Below are 26,490 nucleotides of genomic sequence, written 5' to 3'. Positions count from 1 at the left end.
ATTGATCTATATCTCTGTTTTGGTACCAGTACCATGCTGTTTTGGTTACTGTAGCCTTGTAGTATAGTTTGAAGTCAGGTAGTGTGATGCCTCCAGCTTTGTTCTTTTGGCTTAGGATTGACTTGGCGATGCGGGCTCTTTTTTGGTTCCATATGAACTTTAAAGTAGTTTTTTCCAATTCTGTGAAGAAAGTCATTGGTAGCTTGATGGGGATGGCATTGAATCTGTAAATTACCTTGGGCAATATGGCCATTTTCACGATATTGATTCTTCCTACCCATGAGCATGGAATGTTCTTCCATTTGTTTGTATCCTCTTTTATTTCCTTGAGCAGTGGTTTGTAGTCCTCCTTGAAGAGGTCCTTCACATCCCTTGTAAGTTGGATTCCTAGGTATTTTATTCTCTTTGAAGCAATTGTGAATGGGAGTTCACTCATGATTTGGCTCTCTGTTTGTCTGTTGTTGGTGTATAAGAATGCTTGTGATTTTTGTACATTGATTTTGTATCCTGAGACTTTGCTGAAGTTGCTTATCAGCTTAAGGAGATTTTGGGCTGAGACAACGGGGTTTTCTAGATAAACAATCATGTCGTCTGCAAACAGGGACAATTTGACTTCCTCTTTTCCTAATTGAATACCCTTTATTTCCTTCTCCTGCCTGATTGCCCTGGCCAGAACTTCCAACACTATGTTGAATAGGAGCGGTGAGAGAGGGCATCCCTGTCTTGTGCCAGTTTTCAAAGGGAATGCTTCCAGTTTTTGCCCATTCAGTATGATATTGGCTGTGGGTTTGTCATAGATAGCTCTTATTATTTTGAAATACGTCCCATCAATACCTAATTTATTGAGAGTTTTTAGCATGAAGGGTTGTTGAATTTTGTCAAAGGCTTTTTCTGCATCTATTGAGATAATCATGTGGTTTTTGTCTTTGGCTCTGTTTATATGCTGGATTACATTTATTGATTTGCGTATATTGAACCAGCCTTGCATCCCAGGGATGAAGCCCACTTGATCATGGTGGATAAGCTTTTTGATGTGCTGCTGGATTTGGTTTGCCAGTATTTTATTGAGGATTTTTGCATCAATGTTCATCAAGGATATTGGTCTAAAATTCTCTTTTTTGGTTGTGTCTCTGCCCGGCTTTGGTATCAGAATGATGCTGGCCTCATAAAATGAGTTAGGGAGGATTCCCTCTTTTTCTATTGATTGGAATAGTTTTAGAAGGAATGGTACCAGTTCCTCCTTGTACCTCTGGTAGAATTCGGCTGTGAATCCATCTGGTCCTGGACTCTTTTTGGTTGGTAAACTATTGATTATTGCCACAATTTCAGCTCCTGTTATTGGTCTATTCAGAGATTCAACTTCTTCCTGGTTTAGTCTTGGGAGAGTGTATGTGTCGAGGAATCATTGTTTCTCTTTATAGGCACAGACTCAGAGATTAGTCATTACCTTGGACCTAAACTTTTTTTTTCAAATGTATACATTTATAGGTTGCTACCATTTTTTCAGTGGCCTGAGGAAAACTACTATTTTGAAGTAAAGTAATACCATAGAGTATTTTATGGACCTTCATTGTCTTTTACTGGCTTGATGAAGCCAGTCACGGCCCCCACCCGCTCTCTTTTTTTTTTTCCTTAAGCAGATGAAAGGAAAGGGCAACCTTATTTTTTCTAAAAATCTATCTTCTTCTGACATGTTGGAGGGCTTATGTATTTTGTTTTATTCTCGTTCAAAGCCTTTAGCTTAAGCTATGTCAAGGCTGTCTATAGCAGTTGACTTCTGCTTTCTGCTGGGTCTTCAATTCCTGTTCCTCCTGCCACAAAAGAGCGGTTGCTGATGCTACTTTAGAAAGTGAAGTCATTTGCCTTTTCGGGTAGAATGAAGAAAGCCCGGAGGAGGCTGCAGAATCTTTTCACATGGTGAATATAGCAGGAAGAAAGGAAGGGAGGGAGGGAGGGAAAAAGAAGAAAGGAGGGAAGGAAGGAAGGAAGGAGAAAGAAGGAAAGAAAGAAAGGAAGAGAGAAAGAAAGAAAGAAAAAGAAAGAAGAAAAGACAGAAAGAAAAAGAGAAAGAGGGAGGGAGGGAAAGAAAGAGAAAGAAAAGGAAGGAAGGGAAAAAGAAAGAAGGAAAGAGAGAAGGGAAGGAAAGAGAAAGACAGAGAAAGAAAGAGGAAAGAAAGAAATAGAACTTTCTGTCTTACAGAACTAGATACTGCTCCTGGAGGCCTGGGTGTGACCGTGACGTAGACTCTGGAGCCACAGGATAGACCAGTGACCTCATTTTTCTTGCCAGGTGAGGTCTGTAAGATTTTGATTTGTCTATAATCTGGAATAGAATTGTGCCTTCAAATAAGTGACTTTTCTAACTTTAGGTTATACATGGTGTGATACTAACTTAAAAATAAGTGCATTTTCCTTCAAATAAACTGTTTCTTACGTACAGCAATTTGTAACTTAACAACAGTGGGGTTCTTCTTGGGTGTCTTGTTTTGCATTCTGTAGGTAAAGAGCTGAATTTAACACCGGTTGCAAGAAAAAAAAACTCCCAAGTGCATTTTAATTTCTCTTTCTCAAATTTCTTTTCTTGGATATGTAATATTAAGTGTATACAACACCAATTTAATAAATATCCTATACATTGCCTATATATAAGACCTCTTCTGGGGAATTGGAAAGTTATCAATGTTTTTAAGCAGCTTCAGTTCTCACGAATGAAATAGCTTGTGTACAGGATGATGAGCTATTCGTTAAACATAATCATTGTGCAGGAAGTAGCAAGGGTGGTGTTTTGTTCAGAGTTTGTATCAAAATACCCATTCTCCTAGGCTTTATGTTCTCAACAAATGACTATATTTTATAACATAAAATGTGAAGTTGTTTTGTAATTGGAAAAGGGGACAAAGAACATGTACTGCCATTAGGAAATATCCTTTTGTGTTCAGCTTTGTCATAAACTTTTTTAGTTCAGTTAATTTAACTGTATAAAATCTTTATAAATTATGACAACTGTACCTTCTATTTCAAATGGTGGAATGGTGCAGCTTATTTGGATATGGTTAGAAATTAGGCACATGCAACAACCAAGTCCAAGTGCATTTCTAGTTACAGGTTTCTTAATTTAGTAAGAACATTATTTTTACCAATATAAGTAATTTTACCTCTGTGTTGCACTTGTCAACTGATTTCAATATTAATCACAATAATGTCAAATGCTTAAACTACAAGAGTGAATTTCCAAAAGACTTTTGATTTCATGAATTAAATGAAAAACATTAAATCATGATTTTCTATTTGAATCCTCTGATGGCATCATTTAACTGCTGACTTCTCTTAATGGAGCCAACACATTAACAACCATTGCTTCACTTTTCATGTGTGCATAAAAAAACTTGGAGAAAGTAATGAGTATAATTAACTTAGAAGAACAGTCTTTTGATCTAAATGAAGTCATGCTTCATAGAGTAATATGTAGGCTCACCTTTTGTAGCCCTCATTTTAATCATTATCTTTTAGCGCCATCTTCTTAATGTAGCTATTAACTTTTGAAGTAGATGCTGATGGTTCTTGTGATTGGCAATCTGTGTCTTCTGATTTCCATCTAATCAAGCTTTTTCTAGGCTGCTGGCATGAGACTGCACTTTGCTTTATCATTGAGTGCCCCTCATGCTGTTCTCAAAAAGAAGGGGTTAGTTACACTGTGACCAAGTGCTAAAAAAAAGCACTTCGCTCACTACACATGTATCTCACAGCCTATAAGGTGAGAGCACGGCAGAAGCTGCAAGTACAAAGTGGAAGTTTACTAAATCCACCCCAGCTTCAGTTAATGCAACTATTGACAATAATACTTTGTTAAAACAACAACAAAAAGGACAAATACCCAAACAAGCAAAACATGAGGACAACAGGTATAACCCGAGACTGTTCCAGTGAAACCAAGCCATAGGCTTTCCATAACTGATGATAAGGATGCCAGCTCTGTGGATTAACAAGTGGGAGGGACCAAAGGAATCCCAGAGGGAGGAGTTGGCCTTGGAGAGGCAAGAGAAATTCTACAATACCAGATAAGAAAAAGTGTCAGTAGGTCCACAGCACCTGGAAAAGCCAGAGGTCAGTGACTGACAACATACAGTAAGATTCATTCAACACTTAGCAATTTCCTGTTGTTTGCCAAGCATCAGGTATGACAATTAGTACTATTTATTCAGCATCATTGCATAGCAAACACTTTATTTTATTTAATCTCCACAAAAGAGTGTAAGGTAAGTATTGCTACTTCTGGTTTACAGGGGATAAAACTGAGCCCAGGAGGGGCCAACTGACTTGCCCAACTCCTGGCCATTCCCTCCTGTTCTGGGCATTTCTCCTCTGCCTCTCCCCATTTCTCTGCCTACATGGGGAGTAGATGGGAATGGTGACTTCCCATGTTAAAGGTGTTAAAATCTGTGTGACCCTCTCTCCCACAGAGGTTTGATTATCGTTTTCTCCTCCCATCATTTCTCTTCCCTTTCCAAATGACCCCTCCAAAAACACATCCTTGTTTAACTAAACCTATTTCCTCTGCTGGCAAGAGAGAGGAAATGGGTTTTGATTGTGTTGCAAAAACGTCAGGGGTCCACAACACATTTTACATCTGATTCAATTTTATGTTTTATCATTTTATATTACTAGAGAGACTTTGTTTTTACTTTTTTTAATTTAAAAAGAAAAGAGGTTGATTTTGCTCATGACTGATGGCTGGAAAGATCAAGGCTAGGCATCTGCATCTGGTGAGGGCCTCAGGTTGCTTCCACTCAAGGCAGAAGGGGAAGGGGAGCTGGCATGTGCAGAGATCACATGGCAAGAGAGGAAGCAACAGAGAGAACAGGGGAGATGCCATGCTCTTTTGAACCACCAGCTCTTAATCATAAGAAATCACTCACTGTGCCCACCCCCCCACCCTCTGCAGGGAGGGTATTAATCTATTCATGAGGGATCTGCCCTCATGATCCAAATACCTGCCATTAGGCCCTACCTCCAATATTGGGGATTGTATTAGTCTGTTCTCACACTGCTAATAAAGACATATCCAAGACTAGGTAATTTATAAAGGAAAGGAGGTTTAATGGACTCACAGTTCCACATGAGTGGGGAGGCCTCACAATCATGGCAGAAGGCAAAGGAGGCACAAAATCATGTCTTACATGACGGCAGGCAAGAGAGCTTGTGCAGGGGAACTCTTATTTATAAACCCATTGGATCTCGTGAGACTTATTCACTACCACAAGAACAGTATGGGGAAACTGGCCCCATGATTCAATTATCTCCACCTGGCCCCACCCTTGACATGTGGAGGCTATTACAATTCAAGATGAGATTTGGGTGGGGACACAGCTAAACCATATCAGGGATCAAATTTTAACATGAGGTTTGTAGTGGACAAACATCCAAACCATAGCAAGTGATCAATTCACCTATCAATAACCAATAAGCATATAAAAAGCTTCTTACTCTCTAGTAAATAAAGATGGCAAATTAAAACAATAAAATGTAATTTTCTATCCATCAGATTGAGAACTTAAAAAGTGATAATTGATAATTCCTCAAGCTAGAGAAAGTACAAGGAACCAGACTCCCATTATCTGCTGGCGGGAGTGTAAACTGTTGCAACTTTTCCTTCACAGAAATACCTACCTAAGAATGTTTCGATCTGTTCTATTAAGTATCAGATGGCAGGTTCAGAACAGTGCATATGATTTTCTCTCATTTAGAAAATGTACCAGTGGTCTTCTCTGGAGAGTGGGGCTGAGGGTCTAAGTAGAGATGGAAGTTTTTTTTTGAGACGGAATCTCACTGTTGCCCAGGCTGGAGTGCAGTGGTGTGATTTTGGCTCACTGCAACCTCCACCTCCCAGGTTCAAGCAATTCTCCTGCCTCAGCCTCCTGAGTAGCTGGGATTACAGGTGTGTGCCACCATGCCCAGCTAATTTTTATATTTTTGGTAGAGACAGGGTTTCACCATGTTGGCCAGGCTGGTCTCAAACTCCTGACCTCAGGTGATCTGCCTGCCTCAGCCTCCGAAAGTGTTACGATTACAGGCATGAACCACCGCACCTAGACAAGGAAGCTTTTTTAACCATAGAATCTTAGGTAACTCTTTTTCTTACCATGTACATATATACTGTTTAAGTATCCAAATTTTAAAACCAATTTTTAATTTTAAAAATCTCAACTTGAATTTATCTGAGATTTCAGCTCATATTCACTGCAGAGTTATTTATAATATCAAAAAATGCAAACTTTATATCCAACAGTTTGGTATAAATTGGAAAAAAATAAACTAAACATTAAAAACCATATTGTGGAATATTTTGCAACATAGGCAAATATTCAAATACAGTAAATGAAAAACTGATTATAGATTATATTTCAATCTCCAATTGTGTAATAATCATATATGTACACGTATATGGTCAGGTCTCACTCTGTCTTCCAGGCTGGAATGCAGTGGCATAATCATTGCTCACTACAGCCTCAAACTCCTAGGCTCAAGGATCCTCCCACCTCAGCCTCCCAAGTAGCTGGGACTACAGGTGCATGCCAGTATGCCCTGCTAAACTTCATATGTTTTTGGAGAAACAGAGTCTCACTATTTTGCCCAGGCTATGCTTGAGCTCCTGGCTTCAAGGGAGACTTCTGCTCTGCTCACCCTGAAGATCTCAACTTAAAAGCCATATCCTGGCCGGGTGCGGTGGCTCACGCCTGTAATCCCAGCGCTTAGGGAGGTTGAGGCAGGCAGATCATGAGGTCAGGAGATTGAGAGCATCCTGGCTAACACGGTGAAACCCCGTCTCTACTAAAAATACAAAAAATTAGCTGGGCATGGTGGCATGCGCCTGTAGTCCCAGCTACTTGGGAGGTCGAGGCAGGAGAATCGCTTGAACCTGGAAGGCAGACATTGCAGTAAGTGCAGATGGGAGATCGCGCCACTGCACTCCAGCCTGGACAACAGAGCAAGACTCTGTAAAAAAAAAACAAAAAAAAAAAAAACAAAAAACCATATCCTGGAGGATGCAAATTAAGTCACATCTGCCAGGCAGGTATTCCCTTTTTTTTACAGCAGGTATCTCACATGATAATTACAAATACATTTGCCTCTCAGCCAACAAATATTTATTGAACCATACTCTGTGCCAAGCAATGTGGTTGGTACTAGAAATTAGGCGGAAAAATTCTTGTTCTTGTGTAACTTGCACTCAAATAACTGTAAGGTTACGCCTGTGCTAAGTGCTAGGAACGAGTATGTGGTAGTCCGAAAAACCCATGAAAAGGCAAATTGTACACAGAAACTAGCAAGGATTGCCCTAATACAAGAAATCCTAAGGAGGGGAATTAACCAGACCAAAGAGGGCATCGTTACCCAAGGAACCACACGTTCAAGAAGTAAAAGGCCAAAAAGGCTGTAGCAGAGCCAAGGGGAGTGTGCTGGAAGATGCCAGGCATGCCAGGCCGCCTGCACGTGAAGCACTTGTTGATCTGTTGTCTGGAAACAATGGGGTTATTAGGCGACGGGCAGAGGGAGGATCATACCTGATTAATAGGGACGGTTCCCCTCTGGGCTGAGAGTCTGTGTGTCCGTCTCACTCGGTGGCATCCCAGGAACCCAGAATAGCACTGCACGTAATAGGTGCTCCATAGGGTACCGGCCTGGGTGAACGGGGGACGGGCCTCTGCGGCCGGATGGACCACCCAGGGCCACACCTCCAGCGGCGACCCACATCCACGGCCCCCATATCCCAGGGCGGCCGCAGCAGGAGAGGGAGGGAGGGAGTCCCAGGGCCGCCCCGCAGACCGCCCCTGCCCTCTGGGTCCCCACGCCGCTGCCAGCCTCCTGCCGAGGTTCGGACTCCCGGGGGCCTTGAGGAACCGAGAAGCCGCCTCCTCCCGGGTGGGCGACGTCGCAGGACCGGGACGCTTCACAGAAGTCTCCCTACTGGGCACTCATCTCCCGCGGCCGGCAGCACCGGGCTCTGGAAGTGCCAAGACTTTGTTTTTTCAAGAGACAGGGTCTGGCTGTATTGTCCACGCTGTCCTTGAACTTCTGAGCTCAAGTGATCCTCCCACCTCAGCCTCCCTGGTAGCTGGGACTACAGGTGGATGCCGTCATGCCTGGTTACTAGAGGGACTTACACACACACACACACACACACACTAAAAAAAACCTACTAAACTACTTTTTAGAGAAGTTTTAGGTTCACAGAAAAATTGAACAGAAAGTACAGGGAGTTCCCATATACCCACTTGGTGTTGTACACTCTATGGATGTATAATGACATGCATCCACCATTGATGTATTGTACAGAATAGTTTCACTGTCCTAAAAATCCCTGTGCTCCACCTATCCAGCCTCTCTTTTTTTTTCTTTTTCTTTTTCTTTTCTTTTCTTTTTTTTTTCTTTTTTTTTTTTGAGATGGAGTCTTGCTCTGTCACCCAGGCTGGAATGCAGTGGCGCGATCTCAGCTCCCTGTAACCTCTCCCTCCCGGGTGTAAGCATTTCTCCTGCCTTGGCCTCCTGAGTAGCTGGGATTACTGGCACGTGTCACCATGCTTTGCTAATTTTTATATTTTTAGTAGAGACGGGATTTCACCGTGTTGGTCAGGCTGGTCTTGAACTCCTGATATCAGGTGATCCCCCTGCCTCTGCCTCCCAAAGTGCTGGGATTACAGACATGAGCCACTGCACCTAGCTGACTAAACCTCTTTTCTTTATAAATTACCCAGTGTCAGGTATTTCTTTATAGCAGTGTGAGAACAGACTAATACAGTAAGTATTATACATAAATGCAGCTGGTCTTCCTAAGGATGGTTGCCCCTTAAAGGAAAGCTCAGTTTCGTCCAGCAGTTTCCCGTAATTTTAGAATTTCCTTTTCAAAAGTGTCCAAGGCTAGGACAGTGTATCAGGTCAAAGTGTGTTGCTTTGTGAGCATCACTCCACAAAGTGTCACCAGTGAGTCATGAGTCCCTCTCCTGCATGTAACAGCTGTTCATGCAATTCTCTTCGAGAGAATTGAACTCATCCTCATGTTTCCTTTGGTTTTGAACAAACAGGAATTGGTCACAAATGAAAATACAAGTCTGAATTTCATGCAATAGGGAACAGCTACAATTTTAACAGCATGCTATGTAATTTTAGGCCAAAAGAAATGAAACTACTTATGGTAGACTGCCAATGCTACGACCTGGAACACCTGCTGTGAAATAGCAGCAGAGGAGACAGTTATCTTTTGTTTTATTCCTGAAACCAGAATCTCCTGCCCATAGACAGAGATCAAAACCTCCATTCTAAAGAGAGGCAGTTGGAGAGAACAGCCCAAATAAAGGCAAAACCTCACCAAAAAAGAAAGGGAGATCTGAATTCAGGAGGACTCACCCTTTTACACCCTGTGAAACCTCTGGAGTCTGAGGAACATAGTGCATTAATGCTGGTACCAAGCACTGAGCCCAAGAGGGAAGGCAGCATGTTCAGTGTTGGGAGGTCCCTCTGAATCCTGCTGACTACAGCGGACATGTCTACCTAAGAGAAGAAGCTTAGATAAAATTAATATAAGTAGAAGGTCTATTTGGGCCAAATTTGAAGACTGTAACCCAGGAAACACCTCCAAGTCACTTTGGAGAATAAAGAACAGACTCGAGCTTTTAAGGAAAAAGGACAAACCAGGGGAGGGGATGATTACAAAAGTTTTTGTCAGGAATTCTCATTGCTTTACAAAAATAACATTGATTAGTAACCTTTATACGTTATTTAACTATAGAATATGACTTATAGTGTCCACATATGGCATTGTTACATTAAATTGTATCTACCTGGGGCATCAGTCAGTCTAGAGTCCACATGGCAAGCAGCCTCAAGAGATGGTTACTTAGCTGAAGGAGGGAAGTGGGACATGACTGCTTTCTCATTCCAGTGCCTCTCTGGGCCTGATAATTGAAAGGGGCATTGCATTCCTCAGATTAAAAGGTTTTTGTGCAATTTATATTAAAATACGGATGTACCCAGAATTTATTTAATTACCCTTTACTTTTTCCTGCTGTGTATTGTTTTTAAATCATTATGTAATCTAAGGGTAGCATTATGCTTTCTGTCAGGCCTCCAGCCCAAGCTCAGCCATCATATCCCCTGTGACCTGCATGAATACATCCAGATGGCCTGAAGCAAGTGAAGAATCACAAAAGAAGTGAAAATGGCCGGTGCCTGCCTTAATTGATGACACTCCACCATTGTGATTTATTCCTGCCCCACCTTAACTGGGTGATTAACCTTGTGAAATTCCTTCTCCTGCCTCAGAAGCTCCCGCACTGAGCACCTTGTGACCCCCACCCCTGCCCACAAGAGAAAAACACCCTTTGACTGTAATTTTCCACTACCCACCCAAATCCTATGAAATGGCCTCACCCCTATCTCCCTTTGCTGACTCTCTTTTCAGACTCAGCCTGCCTGCACCCAGGTGATTAAAAAGCTTTATTGCTCACACAAAGACTGTTTAGTGGTCTCTTCACATGGATGCACGTGACATTTGGTGCCATGACTCTGATCGGGGGACCTCCCTTGGGAGATCAATCCCCTGTCCTCCTGCTCTTTGCTCTGTGAGAAAGATCCACCTATGACCTCGGGTCCTCAGACCAAGCAGCCCAAGGAACATCTCACCAATTTTAAATCGGGTGAGTGGCCTCTTTTTACTCTCTTCTCCAACCTCTCTCACTATCCCTTAACCTCTTTCTCCTTTCAATCTTGGCGCCACCCTTCAATCTCTCTCTTCCCTTAATTTCAGTTCCTTTCCTTTTCTGGTAGAGACAGAGGAGATGCGTTTTATCCATGAACCCAAAACTCCGGCACCAGTCACAGGCTCGGGAAGACAGTCTTCCCTTGGTGTTTAATCACTGCGGGATGCCTGCCTGATTATTCACCCACGTTTCAGAGGTGTCTGATCACCGCAGGGACGCCTGCCTTGATCCTTCACCTTAGTGGCAAGTACCACTTTGCTGGGGCACAAATACCCCCCACCCCTTCTCTCCATGTCTCTACCCTCTCTTTTCTCTGGGCTTGCCTCCTTCACTATGGGCAACCATCCACCCTCCATTCCTCCCTCTTCTCCCTTAGCCTGTGTTCTCAAAGACTTAAAACCTCTTCAGCTCACACCTGACCTAAAACCTAAACACCTTATTTTCTTCTGCAATGCTGTTTGACTCCAAAACAAACTCGACGATGGTTCCAAATAGCCAGAAAACGGCACTTTCAATTTCTCCATCCTACAAGATCTAGATAATTCTTGTCATAAAATGGGCAAATGGTCTGAGGTGCCTGACATCCAGGCATTCTTTTACACATCGGTCCCTCCCTAGTCTCTGTTCCCAATGTGACTCACCCCAAATCCTCCTTCTTTCCCCCCCACCTGTTCCCTCAGTCCCAACCCCAAGCATCGCTGAGTCTTTTCAATCTTCCTTTCCTACTGACCCATGTGACCTCTCCCCTCCTCCCCAGACTGCTCCTCTTCAGGTCGCTCCCCGCCAAGCTAAATCAGGCTCCGATTCTTCCTTGGCCTCTGCTCCTCCACCCTATAATCCTTCTATCACCTCCCCTGTGCACACCTGGTTCAGCTTACAGTTTCATTCTGAGACTAGCCCTCCCCCACCTGCCCAACAATTTCCTCTTAGAGCGGTGGCTGGAACTGAAGGCATAGTCAGGGTACATGTGCCTTTTTCTCTATCAGACCTCTCTCAGATCAGCCAGTGTTTAGGCTCTTTCTCATCAGACCCCACTAAATATATACAGGAATTCCAATATCTAACTCTGTCCTACAATTTAACCTGGAGTGACTGAAATGTCATCCTAACTTCTACCCTATCCCCAGATGAATGGGAAAGAGTTTTTTCTCCAGCCCAATCTCACGCTGATAACTGCCGGCTTCAAGAGCCAGACCTCCAGGAAGGCATTAGAGCAGTTCCCCGAGAGGATCCCCAATGGAACTATCAGGCAGATTCCCCAGGTATAGCTAGGCAAGATTATATAATTTCCTGCCTAGTTGAAGGGTGTAAAAAGGCAGCTTACAAAGCTGTTAAAGAACTGTTAAAGAACAAAGCTTAAAGAAACTACCCAAAGTAAACATGAAAACCCCGCCCAGTTCATGGCTGGTTTGGCAGCAACCGTGAGATGCTTTACAACGCTAGACCCTGAAAGGTCAGAAGGCCGTCTTATTCTCAATATGCATTTTATCACCCAGTCAGCTCCTGACATTAAAAAAAACTTCAAAAATTAGAATCCGGCCCTCAAACCCCACAAAAGGAATTAATTAACCTCGCCTTCAAGGTGTACAATAATAGAAAAGAGTTGCAATTACTTGCCTCCACTGTGAGAGAAACCCCAGCCACATCTCCAATACACAAGAACTTCAAAACACCTAAATCCACAGTGGTCAGGCATTCCTTCAGGACCTCCTCCCCCAGGATCTTGCTTTAAGTGCCAGAAATCTGGCCACTGGGCCAAGGAATGCCTGCAGCCCAGGATTCCTCCTAAGCTGTGCCCCATCTGTGTGGGACTTCACTGGAAATCGGACTGTCCAACTCACCAGGCAGCCACTCCCAGAGCCCCTGGAACTCTGGCCCAAGGCTCTCTGACTGACTCCTTCCCAGATCTTCTTGGCTTAGTGACTGAAGACTGACATTGCCCAATCACCTCGGAAGCCTCCTGGACCATCACAGATGCTTTGGGTAACTCTTACAGTGGAGGGTAAGTCCGTCCCCTTCTTAATCAATACGGAGGCTACCCACTCCACAGTACCTTATTTTCAAGGGCCTGTTTCCCTTGCCTCCATAACTGTTGTGGGTATTGACGGCCAGGCTTCTAAACCTCTTTAAAACTCCCCAACTCTGATGCCAACTTGAAGAACAGTTTTTATGCACTTCTTTTAAGTTATCCCTACCTGCCCAGCTCCCTTATTAGGTTGAGACATTTTAACTAAATTATCTCCTTCCCTGACTATTCCTAGGCTACAGCCACACCTCATTGCCGCCCTTTTCCCCAGTTCAAAGCCTCCTTCACATCCTCCCCTTGTATCTCCCCATCTTAATCCACCATTTTGGGACACCTCTACTCCCTCTTTGGTGACCGATCATGCACCCCTTACCATCCCATTAAAACCTAATCACCCTTACCTGATCAATGCCAGTATCCCATCCCACAGCATGCTTTAAAAGGATTAAACCCTGGTATCACTTTCCTGTTACAGCATGGCCTTTTAAAGCCTATAAACTCCCCTTACTATTCCCTCATTTAACTGTCCAAAAACTGGACAAGTCTTACAGGTTAGTTCAGGATCTGCACCTTATCAACCAAATTGTCTTGCCTATCCACCCCGTGGTGCCAAACTCAGATACTCTCCTATCCTCAATACATCCCTCCGCAACCCATTATTCTGTTCTGGATCTCCAACATGCTTTCTTTACTATTCCTTTGTACCTTTCAGCCCAGCCTCTCTTCACTTTCACTTGGATTGACCCTGACACTCATCAGGCTCAGCAAATTACCTGGGCTATACTACTGCAAGGCTTCATGGACAGCCCCCATTACTTCAGTCAAGTCCAAATTTCTTCCTCATCCATTACCTATCTCAGCATAATTCTTCATGAAAACACACATGCTCTCCCTGCTGAGCATGTCCAGCTAAACTTTCAAACCCCAACCCCTTCTACAAAACAACAACTCCTTTCCTTCCTGGGCATGGTTGGATAGTTTCACCTTTGGATACCTAGTTTTACCATCCTGACTAAACCATTATACAAACTCACAAAAACAAACCTAGCTGACCCCATAGATCCTAAATCCTTTCACCACTCATCTTTCCGTTCCTTAAAAACAGCCCTAGAAGCTGCTCTCACACTAGCTCTCCTTAACTCATCCCAACCCTTTTCATTACACACAGCCGAAGTACAGGGCTGTGCGGTTGAAATTCTTACACAAGAGCCAGGACCACGCCCTGTAGCCTTCCTATCCAAACTACTTGACCTCACTGTTTTAGACTGGCTCCCACATTATTCCAGATACCACACCTGACCCCCATGACTGTATCTCTCTGATCCACCTGACATTTACTCCATTTCTCTATATTTTCTTCTTTCCTGTTCTTCACCCTGATCACACTTGGTTTATTGATGTCAGTTCCACCAGGCCTAATCGCCACTCACCAGCAAAGGCAGGCTTTGCTATAGTATCTTCCACATCTATCATTGAGGCTCCTGCTCTGCCCCCTCCACTACCTCTCAGCAAGCCAAACTCATTGCCTTAACTCAGGCCCTCACTCTTGCAAAAGGAGTACATGTCAATGTTTATACTGACTCTAAATATGCCTTCCATATCCTGCACCACCATGCTATTATATGGGCAGAAAGAGGTTTCCTCACTACGTAAGGGTCCTCCATCATTAATGCCTCTTTAATAAAAACTCTTCTCAAGACCACTTTACTTCCAAAGGAAGCTGGAGTCATTCACTGCAAAGGCCATCAAAAGGCATCAGATCCCATCACTCAGGGCAACACTTATGCCGATAAGGTAGCTAAAGAAGCAGCTAGTGTTCCAACTTCAGTCCTTCACAGCCAGTTTTTCTCCTCATCAGTAACTCCCACCTACTCCGCCACTGAAACTTCCACCTATCAATCTCTTCCCACACAAGGCAAATTGTTCTTAGACCAAGGGAAATATCTCCTTTCAGCCTCACAGGCCGATTCTATTCTGTCGTCATTTCATAACGTCTTCCTTGTAGGTTGCAAGCTGCTATCCCACCTCTTAGAACCTCTTATTTCCTTTCCATTGTGGAAATCTATCCTCAAGGAAATCACTTCTCAGCGTTCCATTGGCTATTCTACTAGTCCTCATGGATTGTTCAGGCTCCCTCCCTTCCCTACACATCAAGCTTGGGGATTTGCCCCTGCCCAGGACTGGAAAATTGACTTTACTCACATGCCCCAAGTCAGGAAACTAAAATACCTTTTGGTCTGGGTAGACACTTTCACTGGGTGGGTAGAGGCCTTTCCCACAAGGTCTCAGAAGGCCACCGCAGTCATTTCTTCCCTACCGTCAGACATAATTCCTCGGTTTGGCCTTCCCACCTCTAAACAGTCTGATAATGAACCGGCCTTTTATTAGTCAAATCACCCAAGCAGTTCTCAGGCTCTTAATATTCAGCGGCTCCTGGTTTTATCTCAAACTACCACCTTAAGTCTCTCTTAAAGTGGATAAATGATCTTTGCTGACAGGGTACACTCCAATACTTTCACCCTGATGAAGTCTTATTCTTTACTTTTATACTCACTCTTACTCTTGTTTCCATTCTTATGCCACCCTCTACCTCTCCCCAGCTATCTCCACCACACTATCAATCTCGCTCACTCTCTCCTAGCTGTTTCTAATCCTTCTTTAACAAACGATTGCTGGCTTTGCATTTCTCTTTCCTCCAAAATTGCCGAGGCCTCGACTTAACTCACTGCTAAAAAAAGAGGACTCTGTATATTTTTAAATGAAAACTGTTTTTACCTAAATCAATCTGGCCTGGTGTATGACAACATAAAAAAACTCAAGAATAGAGCCCAAAAAACTCACCAACCAAGCAAGTAATTACACTGAACCCCCTTGGGCACTCTTGAATTGTAGATGTCCTGGGTCCCCCAATTCTTAGTCCTTTAATACCTGTTTTTCTCCTTCTCTTATTCAGACCTCGTGTCTTCCGTTTAGTTTTTCAATTCATTCAAAACTGTATCCAGGCCATCACCAATCATTCCATACAACAAATGTTTCTTCTAACAACCCCACCATATCACCCCTTACCACAAAATCTTCCTTCAGCTCAATCTCTCCCACTCTAGGTTCCCATGCTGCCCCTAATCCCGCTCGAAGCAGCCCTGAGAAACATCGTCCATTATCTCTCCGTACCACCCCCTAAAAATGTTTGCTGCCCCAAAACTTCAATACTATTTTATGTTATTTTTCCTATTGATATAAGAAGACAAGAATGTCAGGCCTCTGAGCCCAAGCTCAGCCATCATATCCCCTGTGACCTGCATGAATACATCCAGATGGCCTAAGAATCACAAAAGAAGTGAAAATGGCCGGTTCCTGCCTTAACTGATGACATTCCGCCATTGTGATTTGTTCCTGCTCCACCTTAACTGAGCATTTAACCTTGTGAAATTCCTTCTCCTGGCTCAGAAGCTCCCCCACAGTGACCTCCGCCCCTGCCTGCAAGAGAAAAACCCCCTTTGACAGTAATTATCCACTACCCACCCAAATCCTATAAAACAGTGCCACCCCTATCTCCCTTCACTGACTCTTTTTGGACTCAGCCTGCCTGCACCCAGGTGATTAAAAGACTTTACTGCTCACACAAAGCCTGTTTGGTGGTCTCTTCACAGGGACGTGTGTGACACTTTCTAAACCTAACACTTGCTCAGTACATAAGTGTTAATGTACATTTTCATTTCCATCTTGGCTTTGTGGGTGCCTAAATCAGCAAATCTCTCCTTTCCTCTTTTTTCTTTTCTTTTTTTTTTTTTTTTTTTTTCCTATTTTGGGATTATTGCCTCTGGAAGCTATGCCTTTAGTTTTGTCTCTGGTTAGTAAGAGGAAAAGGAGAAAAAGGATAGCACCTCTAGGCAGTAGCCTCTCTCTGGGATGGCCCTGATGACTCCAATATAATCAGTCCATCCCCCTCCCTCTTCTTTTCTCTTCAGCAAATATTTTATTTATTTATTTACTTTGACATAGGGTCTCACTCTGTCACCCAGGCTGGAGTGCAGTGGTATGATCCTGGCTTACTGCAGCCTCCTCCTCCCAGGCTCTGGTGATCCTCCCATCTCAGCCCCCTAAGTAGCTAGGACTATAGGCATGCTCTACCATGCCTGGCTAATTTTTTGCATAATTTTTTTTTTGTAGAGACAGAGTTTTGCCATGTTGCCCAGGATGCAAAATATTTTAGAATGACTCGCATTTATGAGTGGATACAGGTTTCCCCTCTCTCTTTGGATATTTACCTGACAAGCCCCTGGTAGTCCTGAGTGGCTTCCCGTCCTGATTTATAATCTCGAATGATCTAAGAAACCTCAAGCGTCTTAGGGGGAGTGGGATCAAAGTGCCCCTTCCCACTTTGCTCTGCTTTTTAAAAACATTGAGCCACCTATCTCCGTGGATGAGATCTGAGATATCCAATGGAGTTGGGATATGAAAGCAACAGCAGCAAGGGAGGCAACAGAGAAGCTCTCAGCAGCCCTGGAGGCACAGAGCTCTACGAGGTGCCGTGGAGGACTCTCTGAGAAAGGAGGGCTGCCTGACACCAAGAGAGAAGAGAGGAAATTACAAATGGTCCCTGACTTACAATGGCTCGATTTCTAAGTTTTTACTTTCTGATGGTGTGCAAGTGATACATTCAGCAAAAACCATGCTTCCAGTACCCATACAACCATTCTTTTACTTTCAGTACGGTATTCAATAAATTACAGGAGATATCCAATACATTCTTATCAAGTAGTCTTTGTGTAGATGATTTTGCCCAACTCTAGGCCAATTTAAGTTTTGAGCATGTTTAAGGCAGGCTAGTCTAAGCTATGATGTTCAGTAGGTTAGGTATGTTAAATGCATTTTTGACTTACAACATTTTCAAGTTAGGATGGGTTTACTGGGACATAACCTCACCACAAGCTGAGAAGCATCTGTGTTGTTGTAATTCAACAACACATTGAACAGTGGGGAGAGAGCCACCCACCCAAGCTGTAGCCCACTGGACTCCTCAACTTGTCTTTATTGCTGAGGCTGGAACAGAGTGATATGCACTCAGCACCAAAGGAGATCTCCATTCTATCAGCAGGAGTTCTTCTTCAAATCAAAATCACTCCGAAGTACACTGAGAAATAGCCAATCCACATAGCCCAGTAACTTCAGATCCCTGGCAATGATAGTTTAAGTATCCCCCTCTTGCTGGAATCATGGATAGGAAGTGGTATCCTGGGCCATATTATTGAGATTGGGACAGGATCCACACTATAGGATGGAAAGTCCTGGCAGAAACACAAAGTGGTGCACACCTTGCCAGCAGGATATAAAGTCGTCTCTATTGGTGGAGCCAATCAGGATAGCAAATTAGTGAGCCATGAGCAGTTAAAAAACATCCCCTGGGAACTTTCTACCCATTTTAAATGATCCATTCTCATCACCAGTTGTGTTGTAAATGGTGGAGTAAGTGTCATTGGTGGGATCTTTGGGGATCATTCCAACACAGTTGCAGAAGTCATACTTGAAGAGACATATAAAATTAAATGATTTGTTTTACTCATAGTTCCTAAAAGGTGAAGCATGACATGCCACACAGGGAGCCCGTTAGAAGGAGCTCCTAGAGAAAGGGCTCAAGTTAGCAGGTGGGGAGATGAGACCGGGTGGACCCCTGGGAAAATGCCTTTATTAGAGTCACAGTAAAGTACACAAGCAAATGGCATGAGGGAATTTCACTGGTGTGTTTGAATATCACTAGGTTACAGTAGGGGAGGGCAAGAACTGGTATCAGGGACCAGCCTTATCATATTGGCACCTCATTGCGTGGGCAGGGTGCTCACAGCCTGTTTGTGGGGACATCAAGGCATGAGAAAAATATGAAGTTCTAAAATTTTAAACCACAACAGAAAATATTTATTTCTTCAGACAATTTTGAGGTATTATGTTGCATCCTTTCATTTCAACCTAAAGAACTCCCTTTAAGATTTCTTGTAGGACAGGTCTAGAGGAGATGAACTCTGTCAGCTTTTGTGTATCCAGGAATATCTCGATTTATCCCATATTTTTGAATGATGGTCTTATCAGGTATAGAAGTCTTAGTTGATGGCTTTTCTTTTCTTTCAGAACTTTAAACATAACATCCCACTGCCTCTGGCCTCCAATGCTTCTGATAAGAACTCAGCCAACAATCTTACTGAGGATCTCTTGTATGTGAGGAATGGCTTCTCTCTTGCTGCTTTCAAGATTCTTTGTTTCATTTTAGCTTTCAATAGTTGGATTATAATATATCTTAGTGTGGGTCTCTGAGTTTATCTTACCTGGCATTTGTTCAGCAACTTATATTTGTAGATTCACATATTTAATCAACTTTGGGAGGACTTGGGATATTATTTCTTCAAATAACCATCTTCTCCTTCCTCTCTGTTTCTCTTCCTCTTCTGTTATTCTCATAATGTGTATGTTCATCCACTTAGTGGTATCCCATAAGTCCTTCAGGTTCTGTTCCTTTTTCTTTATTCTTTTTTGTCTTTCTATCCTGGAGACTCAATAATTTCATTTCAAGTTTTCTGATTCTTTCTTCCTCCTGCTAAAATCTATTATGAAACTCCTCTAGCGAATGTTGCATTATCATGACTTTCAGCTCTTCTATTTCTGTTTGGTTCTATTTTAATATTTTTTATCTCTTAGTTGATGTTCTCATTTTGTTAATACATCTTTTCCTAATTTCCTTTAGATTTTTGTCCACGTTTTCCTTTAGCTATTTGAGCATTTTTGAAATGGAATTTTGCCCTTGTTGCACAGGCTGGAGTGCAATGGTGTGATCTTGGCTCACTGCAACCTCTGCCTCCCCAGTTCAAGTGATTCTCCTGCCTCAGCCTCTCTAGTAGCTGGCATTACAGGTGCCTGCCACAACGCCCAGCTAATTTTTTGTGTTTTTAGTAGAGATGGGGTTTCACTACATTGGCCAGGCTGGTCTTGAACTCCTGACCTCAGGTGATCCACCCACCTCAGCCTCCCAAAGTGCTGGGATTACAGGCATGAGCCACCGCACCTGGCTCTCTTTGAGCATTTTAAGACAGTTGTTTTAAAGTCTTGGTCTAGTATCAGGATGGGACCAATATATTGCAAGAGTTCTTATAAGTAGGAGGCAGGAGAGTAAGAATTAAAGAAGGACATGTGATAATGAAAGCAAGAGGTTGGAGTGATAGTAAGATGAAACTGTGAAAAAAGGAATGTGAACAACCTCTAGAACTGGACAGGTAAGAGACAGAAGCCTAAAAATATTATCTCTGCTGATACCTGCTTAGATTGTATATATTTAAAAGTGCTTTGAGATATATATAGGTAGATAGATATTGTTACAGTCAAGCAAATGAATATAACCATCATCTCAAATAGCTACCTTGTTTTGTGTGTATGCCAAGTGCATCTAAAATCTTACCTTTTAGTAAAAATTGTGAGAATAATTCAATATTATTAACTAGGGTCTTCATGCTGTACATGACATCTGTAGAGTTTTTCATCCTAACGATCTGCAATTTTGTATCTTTCGACATACATCTCCCCATAACCTTCCCCAACCCTACTCCAGGAAACCAAAGTTTTATTCTCCACCTTTGCATATTTGAGTTCTTTTCTTTTTTCTTGGTTACAGCTCAACAATTCCAATTTTGTACTTGTGACCACCGGAAGTGTACGATAATACATTTCTATTGTTGTAGTACATACATTTAGTAGTAATTTGTCAGAGCATCGTTAGGAATCTAATGTAATGTGATTATGCTATGGCTAAAAAATTTCAGGGCTTAAAAAATGTTTTATTTCTTATTTAAGCCATATGTTCATTGTGCGTTGAGAGTTATGTATTTTATAGTCACTCAGAAATCCAAAGTGAGGAAGTAGCTTCCATCAGAGCCTTGTGGGTCTTTGTGGAAGGGAGCAGTTGATCCACAGAGGCTTTTGCCATTAAATGCACAGACCACAAATTATACCCATCACTTCTGCTCGCAACTCAGTGGTCTAAAGAAGTCACATGGCGCCACCCAATGCAATGATTCAGAAAAAGCAACACTCCATGTGGCCAGAAAGTAGAGAGACAAATATTTGGCAAAGCATGATATTTCAAAGGAGGGTTCAGGAGTTCTACTCAGGTCCTCAACCTCATGCTCTACCATTAAACTGGACCTGACTCTGCCACAGTGTTCTCACTTGTAATACAGTCTCATGGTACAGGCTTGTTGTGAGGGTTAAATGAGATAATACATGCAGTGTGCTGAGCTCAAGGCCCACTCCTGGTGTATACTCAGTCAATGAAAGTCATTGATAAACACTTTAGAAAACATAAGCATCACATAAGGATGATTAAATGACTGTTTTGTGTTTTCCTCCAGGAGCGGCAGGTGAGGAGGAGCTGCGGGTGATTCAGCCTGAGAAGTCAGTGTCAGTCACAGCTGGAGGTTTGACCACTCTGTGACCTCCCTTTGCCCTTGGGGCCCATCAGGTGGTTCAAAGGAACTGAAACAGGGCAGGAACTAATCTACAGTTCAAAAGGAGGCCACTTTCCCAAGATAGCTTGCATTTCAGACATCACAAAGAGAAACAATACAGACTTTTCCATGTGCATCACTAGCATCACAAGAGCCAACACTGGCACCTACAACTGTGTGAAGTTCTGGAAAGGGGGCCCTGACATGGAGCTTAAATCTGGACCAGGCACTGAGTTGTCTGTGCATAGTGAGTACAGTGTGGGCCTCCTTCGTCCCCCAGTGTGTGACAATAAGTCAATAGTAACACCTTCCATTCATTGAGCAACAATCGGGTGTGGTGGTGGGTACGCATTTTCATGAACTGGTGTCACCCCCTTCTACAGATCAGTTAAGTTAAGGCCTGATGCATCATGCTATTCACTCAGGCACCCATGGCCTGTAAATGGTGGGTAAAGTCTGTAACACTGGTCTGCCTTCTCCACAACTTGTCTCTTCTCATCTGGCCCAGCCTTTGGTTTCTGCAGATGAGGGAACTGAAAGATTGGGTGACTTGCCCAGGCACAAGGCCAGATCTTGCCTTCTGCCTCCACAGAGCATTTTCCCCCTCTGGGTGGCCGAGTCTCCTTTTTATATAACTGGTACTCACTGAAAACCTACTATGTGCCAGGCTCTGCCCTGGTTGCTGTGTAAGCTGCAATGAACAAAACAGGGAAAAACTTGTCTCTCACAAACCTTACCCTCTCTTTCCTTCCAATGAGAAGGAATTTGTTCGGGGTGGGAGGGGGATTGTGTTTTTCTTAGTTTAATCTTCAAAAAACATCACATTGGGAAGATTTCTGAGAGGCACAGATCCATTGTTTAATCTGATGGCCCTGCTGGGCATAGATGCCGTGAGCTTTGGTGTTTGTGGATCTGTTAGAGAAACTCTTGTGTGATTCAGGGATTGACTTACACAGGTACTGTAGGCTGCAGTCAGAGGTGGTTCATCTCAGAATATCCCTCTCTCCAGGGAAGAGGCCTCCCATGTGAGTGACTTAGAGGTTTCCCAGTAGAGTTAGCAAAGACGCTCACTTTGGGTTTCCTGCCAAAGATCTAGATTCACAATCTAACTCCTGATCCTGGGATGTTAGCACAGGAGGGATCTTCAGACCAGCCAGTCCAACCCCCTGTTGACAAACAAGAGCCTGAGGCCAGGAAATGACATGGGTCTTGCCCACAGTCACAGGGCCAGTTAGTGATGGGATCCAAATTAGAGCTCAGATCCGATTCCAGGCAGGTCCTTCTTGCCCTGGTGTTAGACACCGTCTCCACAGAAGAGCCTGGTACATCCTAGGTGCTGAATAGATGTTCCTTGAACATAACCACTGAGAGGCAGCCAGCACTTCCCCTTTTCACCACCTTCCCAAGGTTCAGAACACCCCTGACATTCAGACCTCGAGCCTGACTGGAAAACAGTAAGTATTTTATTTTATTTTATTTTATTTTATTTTAATTTTGAGATGGAGTCTCCCTCTGTCACATAGGCTGCAGTGCAGTGGCAACATTTCGGCTCACTGAGACCTCTACCTCCCAGATTCAAGTGATTCTCCTGCCTCAGCCTCCTGAGTAGCTGGGACTACAGGTGCCTGCCACTGTGCCAGGCTAATTTTTGTATTTTTAGTAGAGAAAAGGTTTCACCATGTTGGCCAGGCTGGTCACGAACTCCTGACCTCAGGTGATCCACCCACCTCGGTCTTCCAAAGTGCTGGGATTACAGGCATGAGGCACCACATGTGACCCGTTTCATTTTATATAAAGATTCTATATCAGGACATAGACAGCTGCTCAATTAATACCTGTAGAGTACTCCAACTTATGGAGCTATCAAACTTAGTTTACAGTCTTCTGTTAATGGATATGTAAGTTGTTCCCAACCTTGGGCTACTAAAACAACGCTGCAGTGGGTGGCCTTGTATATGTACATGCGTCATCCTGCTCAGGTGGAAGACACCCACTGGAAGTGACATTGCCGGGTCACAGGGTGTGTGTGTTTTAAGGTATGTAGCTATTGCTAATGTTTTCTTCTTGATGTTGAAATAATCAGCACCCCCCACCACCACCCTGCATCCCTTGAACATAGGTAGGGAAGGTGGTTTTACCCTGATTTTGCAGATATTACAAAGACATTGAAATTCCACGATGGTTCATATTGTGCCTAGGCAAGCACCCTTATTAAGGCTCAGGAGTAACTCAGATGTGCTGACTCCTAGTAGAGTGTTCATTCCTGTTTTCCAAGCCATTAACCTAAACGATGCCCTGGATTAGATTGGAGAAAAGTGAGGAGGGGACCAAAGAGTGGCAGCTGTCCCAGATGCTGTGTCTTCATCTGGCATTTTCTCCTTATAACCAGTGCTATGAGAGGGAGACCATTTGCTGCCTCATTTATAGATGAGGACACAGGTTTAGAGAGGGGACCTGACTTGTGAGCAGGCAGAGGAGCCAAGTTTTGACCCCCAGCTGCCTGACACACAGCCCTTGTCTCCGCAACACCCAGCTGTGCTTGCTGAAGTGTAGGGAAATGCTTCAACCTTCTCGTTCTAAACTGTTGTATTGTTCTGTTCTATATCACTAAACATTAAAAAAAAAAAGAAAAAAAAGGCTTCTTCTTGTGTGGGTAGGAGGGGCTGGCTTGACAACCCCCATCAGAAAGTTCCTGCAGGCATTATATGTTATGTTGAACCTGTCCTAAAAGATATGTCTTGGCATTTAGGACTCTTCTTACATGTGCCATTTCTCCTTCATCGAGCAGCATCCATGGAGCTGAGTCCAGCCTCCTGCCTTTCAGCAGACCACACTGAAACCACCTTTGCAAAATTATGAGAGACAGTGAAAGAGATCTAACTTAACTGACTCCATCTTGCTTCTAACCTCCAAGCTGTCCTCGTTCATTCCTGGACGTAGGCTGAACTAACTTTGGGAGAAACTTAGTTTATAGTTTAAACAAAGATGGTAACAGCCCTTTCCCAAAGCAGACCTTCTTGCCTGGAGACTAGAATGCCTTTGTAGGACTAACATTAGCCACAAGATGAGAAATTATGGTTTAGGAGTCATGCAGCTGGAGGCTACAAGATTCTGACCCTCCCTAAACTGCTCCTAAGATCAGTGCTTGAGATATTTGGCAGACTCTGAACTTGATGTATCATCCGGCACCACCCAGATCCAAAAACTGGCTCCTCTGCTCTTATGGCCACCTGCCCAGGAACTGACTCAGCTCAGGAAGACAGCTTCGACTCCCTATGGTTTCATCCCTGACCAATCAGAACTCCTGGCTCACTGGCTTCTCCTTACCCACCAACTTACCCTTAAAAACTCTGCTCCCCAAATGCTCGGAGAGACTGATTTGAGTAATAATAAATCTCTGGTCTCCCGCAAAGCCAGAATTGTGTGAATTACTCTTTCAAGCAATTCCCCTGTCTTCATAAATCGACTCTGTCTAGGCAATGGGCAAGGTGAGCCACTTGGGCCATTACAACGTGCCCACCCACTCATGGTGCCGAAGACTAAGGATGTGGGAATGAGACATTTCCTAGAGTTCTCATGCCCCGTGTGAGCAAGAGTTTACATTCTTTTTTGGGCTATTAGGAACCCAAGGTCTTCTGTTTATGGGTACAGAGTAACCATAGGGAGCCCAAGGGGAGAACTACAGAGTAACCAGCCCTGGGCACCCAGAAGGGAGACTTCTCCCTAGAATTGCATTAAGTCAAGAATCTGAAAGGGACAAGGGAGGTGGCAGTCATTGTTGGGGATGTTGAAGTTCTAGTGCTTACTCTTTGATGAACAGGGAAGCTTGGCAAAACACAGGAAATGCCCAAGTCATGCACGGGGGATAAGAAGACAGTGCCTTCATCTCTCTTAGTCTCAGTTTTCTCATCTGTAAAATCATGACAATCTTGGACTCCTTTAGGAGAGTGGAAAGGACTTAAGATTCTCTCTGTAAATCACCTAACACATTGTAGGCACTCTCCCAAATCACGTGTTATTTCAAGGCTGTGTGATCTCAGGCAACCCAGTTCCCTTTGCTGAGCCTGTTTCTTCATATGTAGGGTGTAGATAATTACACCAATCATTCCAGGATGTTAAGAGGATACAGCTAATCTGGGGAGAGAATAGACCAGTAAATGATGGGGTTGTTTTCCCAAGGTTGTGTGATCTTGGTAAAGTCTTGGCTACCCTCGAGTCCTCAGTTTTCCCATTTGTGAAATGGTGATGATCATGGTCACCATTATGGACTCTGTGGGGATTGGAGAGGATGTGCACAGAGTTCTGGATGGTGATGGTGTTAGGGTTATTACTGAGTGTCAGTAGCACAGTGGTTAGGAGAGCATGGGTTGGAGCCCCATCACCTGTGCCACATCTCAGCTCTGACATTTCCCAGCTCTGTGATCTGGGACAAGGCACTCCACCATCGTGGGCCTCGGTATCCTTACCAGTCAATTGTAACTTGACTTGGGAATATCTTCTCCAACTGTATGTGTTGTTTGTTTACTCTGCTGATTATTTATTTTGCTGTTCAGAAGCTTTTTAGTTTAATTAGGTCCCATTTATTCATTTTTGTTTTTGTTGCATTTGCTTTTGGGGCTTAGTCATGAATTCTTTGCTGAGGCTGATGCCTAGAAGAGTTTTTCCAACCTTGTCTTCCAGAATTTTTATAGTTCTAGGTTTATATTTAAGTCGTTGATTCATCTTGAATTGATTTTTGTATGAAGTGAGAGATGAGAATCCAGTTTCATTCTTCTACATGTAGCTTGCCAGTTTTCCCGGCACCACTTATTAAATAGGGTGTCCATTCCCCAACTTATATTTTTGCATGTTTTGTTGAAGATCAATTGGCTGCACATATTGGGCTCTATTTCTTGGTTCTTTATTCTGTTCCATTGGTCTATGTGCCTACTTTTATACTAGTACCATGCTATTTTGGTAACTATAGCCTTGTAGTATAATTTGAAGTCTGGTAATGTGATGCCTTCAGGTCTGTTCTTTTTGCTTAGTATTGCTTTGGCTATGCAGGCTCTTTTTTTTTGTTCCATATGAATTTTAGGATTGTTTTTTCTAATTCTGTGAAAAATGCTCCTAGCATTTTTATGGGAATTGCATTGAATTTGTAGATTGCTTTGGGCATTATGCTCATTTCCTTAATATTGATTCTTCCAATCCATGAGCATGGGATGTGTTTCCATTTGTTTGT

The 26,490-nt window shown here is 43.3% G+C and overlaps 1 long non-coding RNA gene and 1 pseudogene across 3 annotated transcripts in view, besides 3 other annotated features; both read left to right on the top strand.

Moving 5' to 3' along the window:
- Positions 1–1,356: 1,356 nt before the first annotated feature.
- On the top strand, positions 1,357–10,507 carry LOC124904858 (uncharacterized). 2 transcript variants are annotated; one of them, XR_007067498.1, is made up of 3 exons: positions 1,357–1,917; positions 2,201–2,290; positions 10,457–10,507. It is a non-coding gene; the product is annotated as an uncharacterized LOC124904858 (long non-coding RNA). The 2 variants fall into 2 exon arrangements; XR_007067497.1 differs by having other exon boundaries at positions 10,119–10,507.
- Positions 20,656–21,226: an enhancer, noted in NCBI's record as "OCT4-NANOG hESC enhancer chr20:1703103-1703673 (GRCh37/hg19 assembly coordinates)". NCBI's record gives its function as "activates a minimal SCP1, AML or CMV promoter by ChIP-STARR-seq in naive H9 embryonic stem cells {active_cell/tissue: H9 hESC(naive)}" and the evidence as "EXISTENCE:reporter gene assay evidence [ECO:0000049][PMID:30033119]".
- Positions 21,227–21,799: an enhancer, noted in NCBI's record as "OCT4-NANOG hESC enhancer chr20:1702530-1703102 (GRCh37/hg19 assembly coordinates)". NCBI's record gives its function as "activates a minimal SCP1, AML or CMV promoter by ChIP-STARR-seq in naive and primed H9 embryonic stem cells {active_cell/tissue: H9 hESC(naive and primed)}" and the evidence as "EXISTENCE:reporter gene assay evidence [ECO:0000049][PMID:30033119]".
- Positions 21,391–26,490, top strand: part of SIRPB3P (signal regulatory protein beta 3, pseudogene) — a 27,968-nt pseudogene continuing 22,868 nt past the window's right edge. The window contains exon 1 of the transcript NR_164369.1: positions 21,391–21,513. The product of NR_164369.1 is annotated as a signal regulatory protein beta 3, pseudogene (transcript). The remainder of the gene's footprint in view (positions 21,514–26,490) is intronic.
- Positions 21,423–21,472: an enhancer, noted in NCBI's record as "active region_17459". NCBI's record gives its function as "activates an Ori minimal core promoter by ATAC-STARR-seq in GM12878 lymphoblastoid cells {active_cell/tissue: GM12878}" and the evidence as "EXISTENCE:reporter gene assay evidence [ECO:0000049][PMID:35858748]".

The sequence above is a fragment of the Homo sapiens genome, chromosome 20 (assembly GCF_000001405.40).
Source record: "Homo sapiens chromosome 20, GRCh38.p14 Primary Assembly".
Lineage (NCBI taxonomy): Eukaryota > Metazoa > Chordata > Mammalia > Primates > Hominidae > Homo > Homo sapiens.
This window is presented reverse-complemented; position numbering and strand designations above follow the sequence as displayed.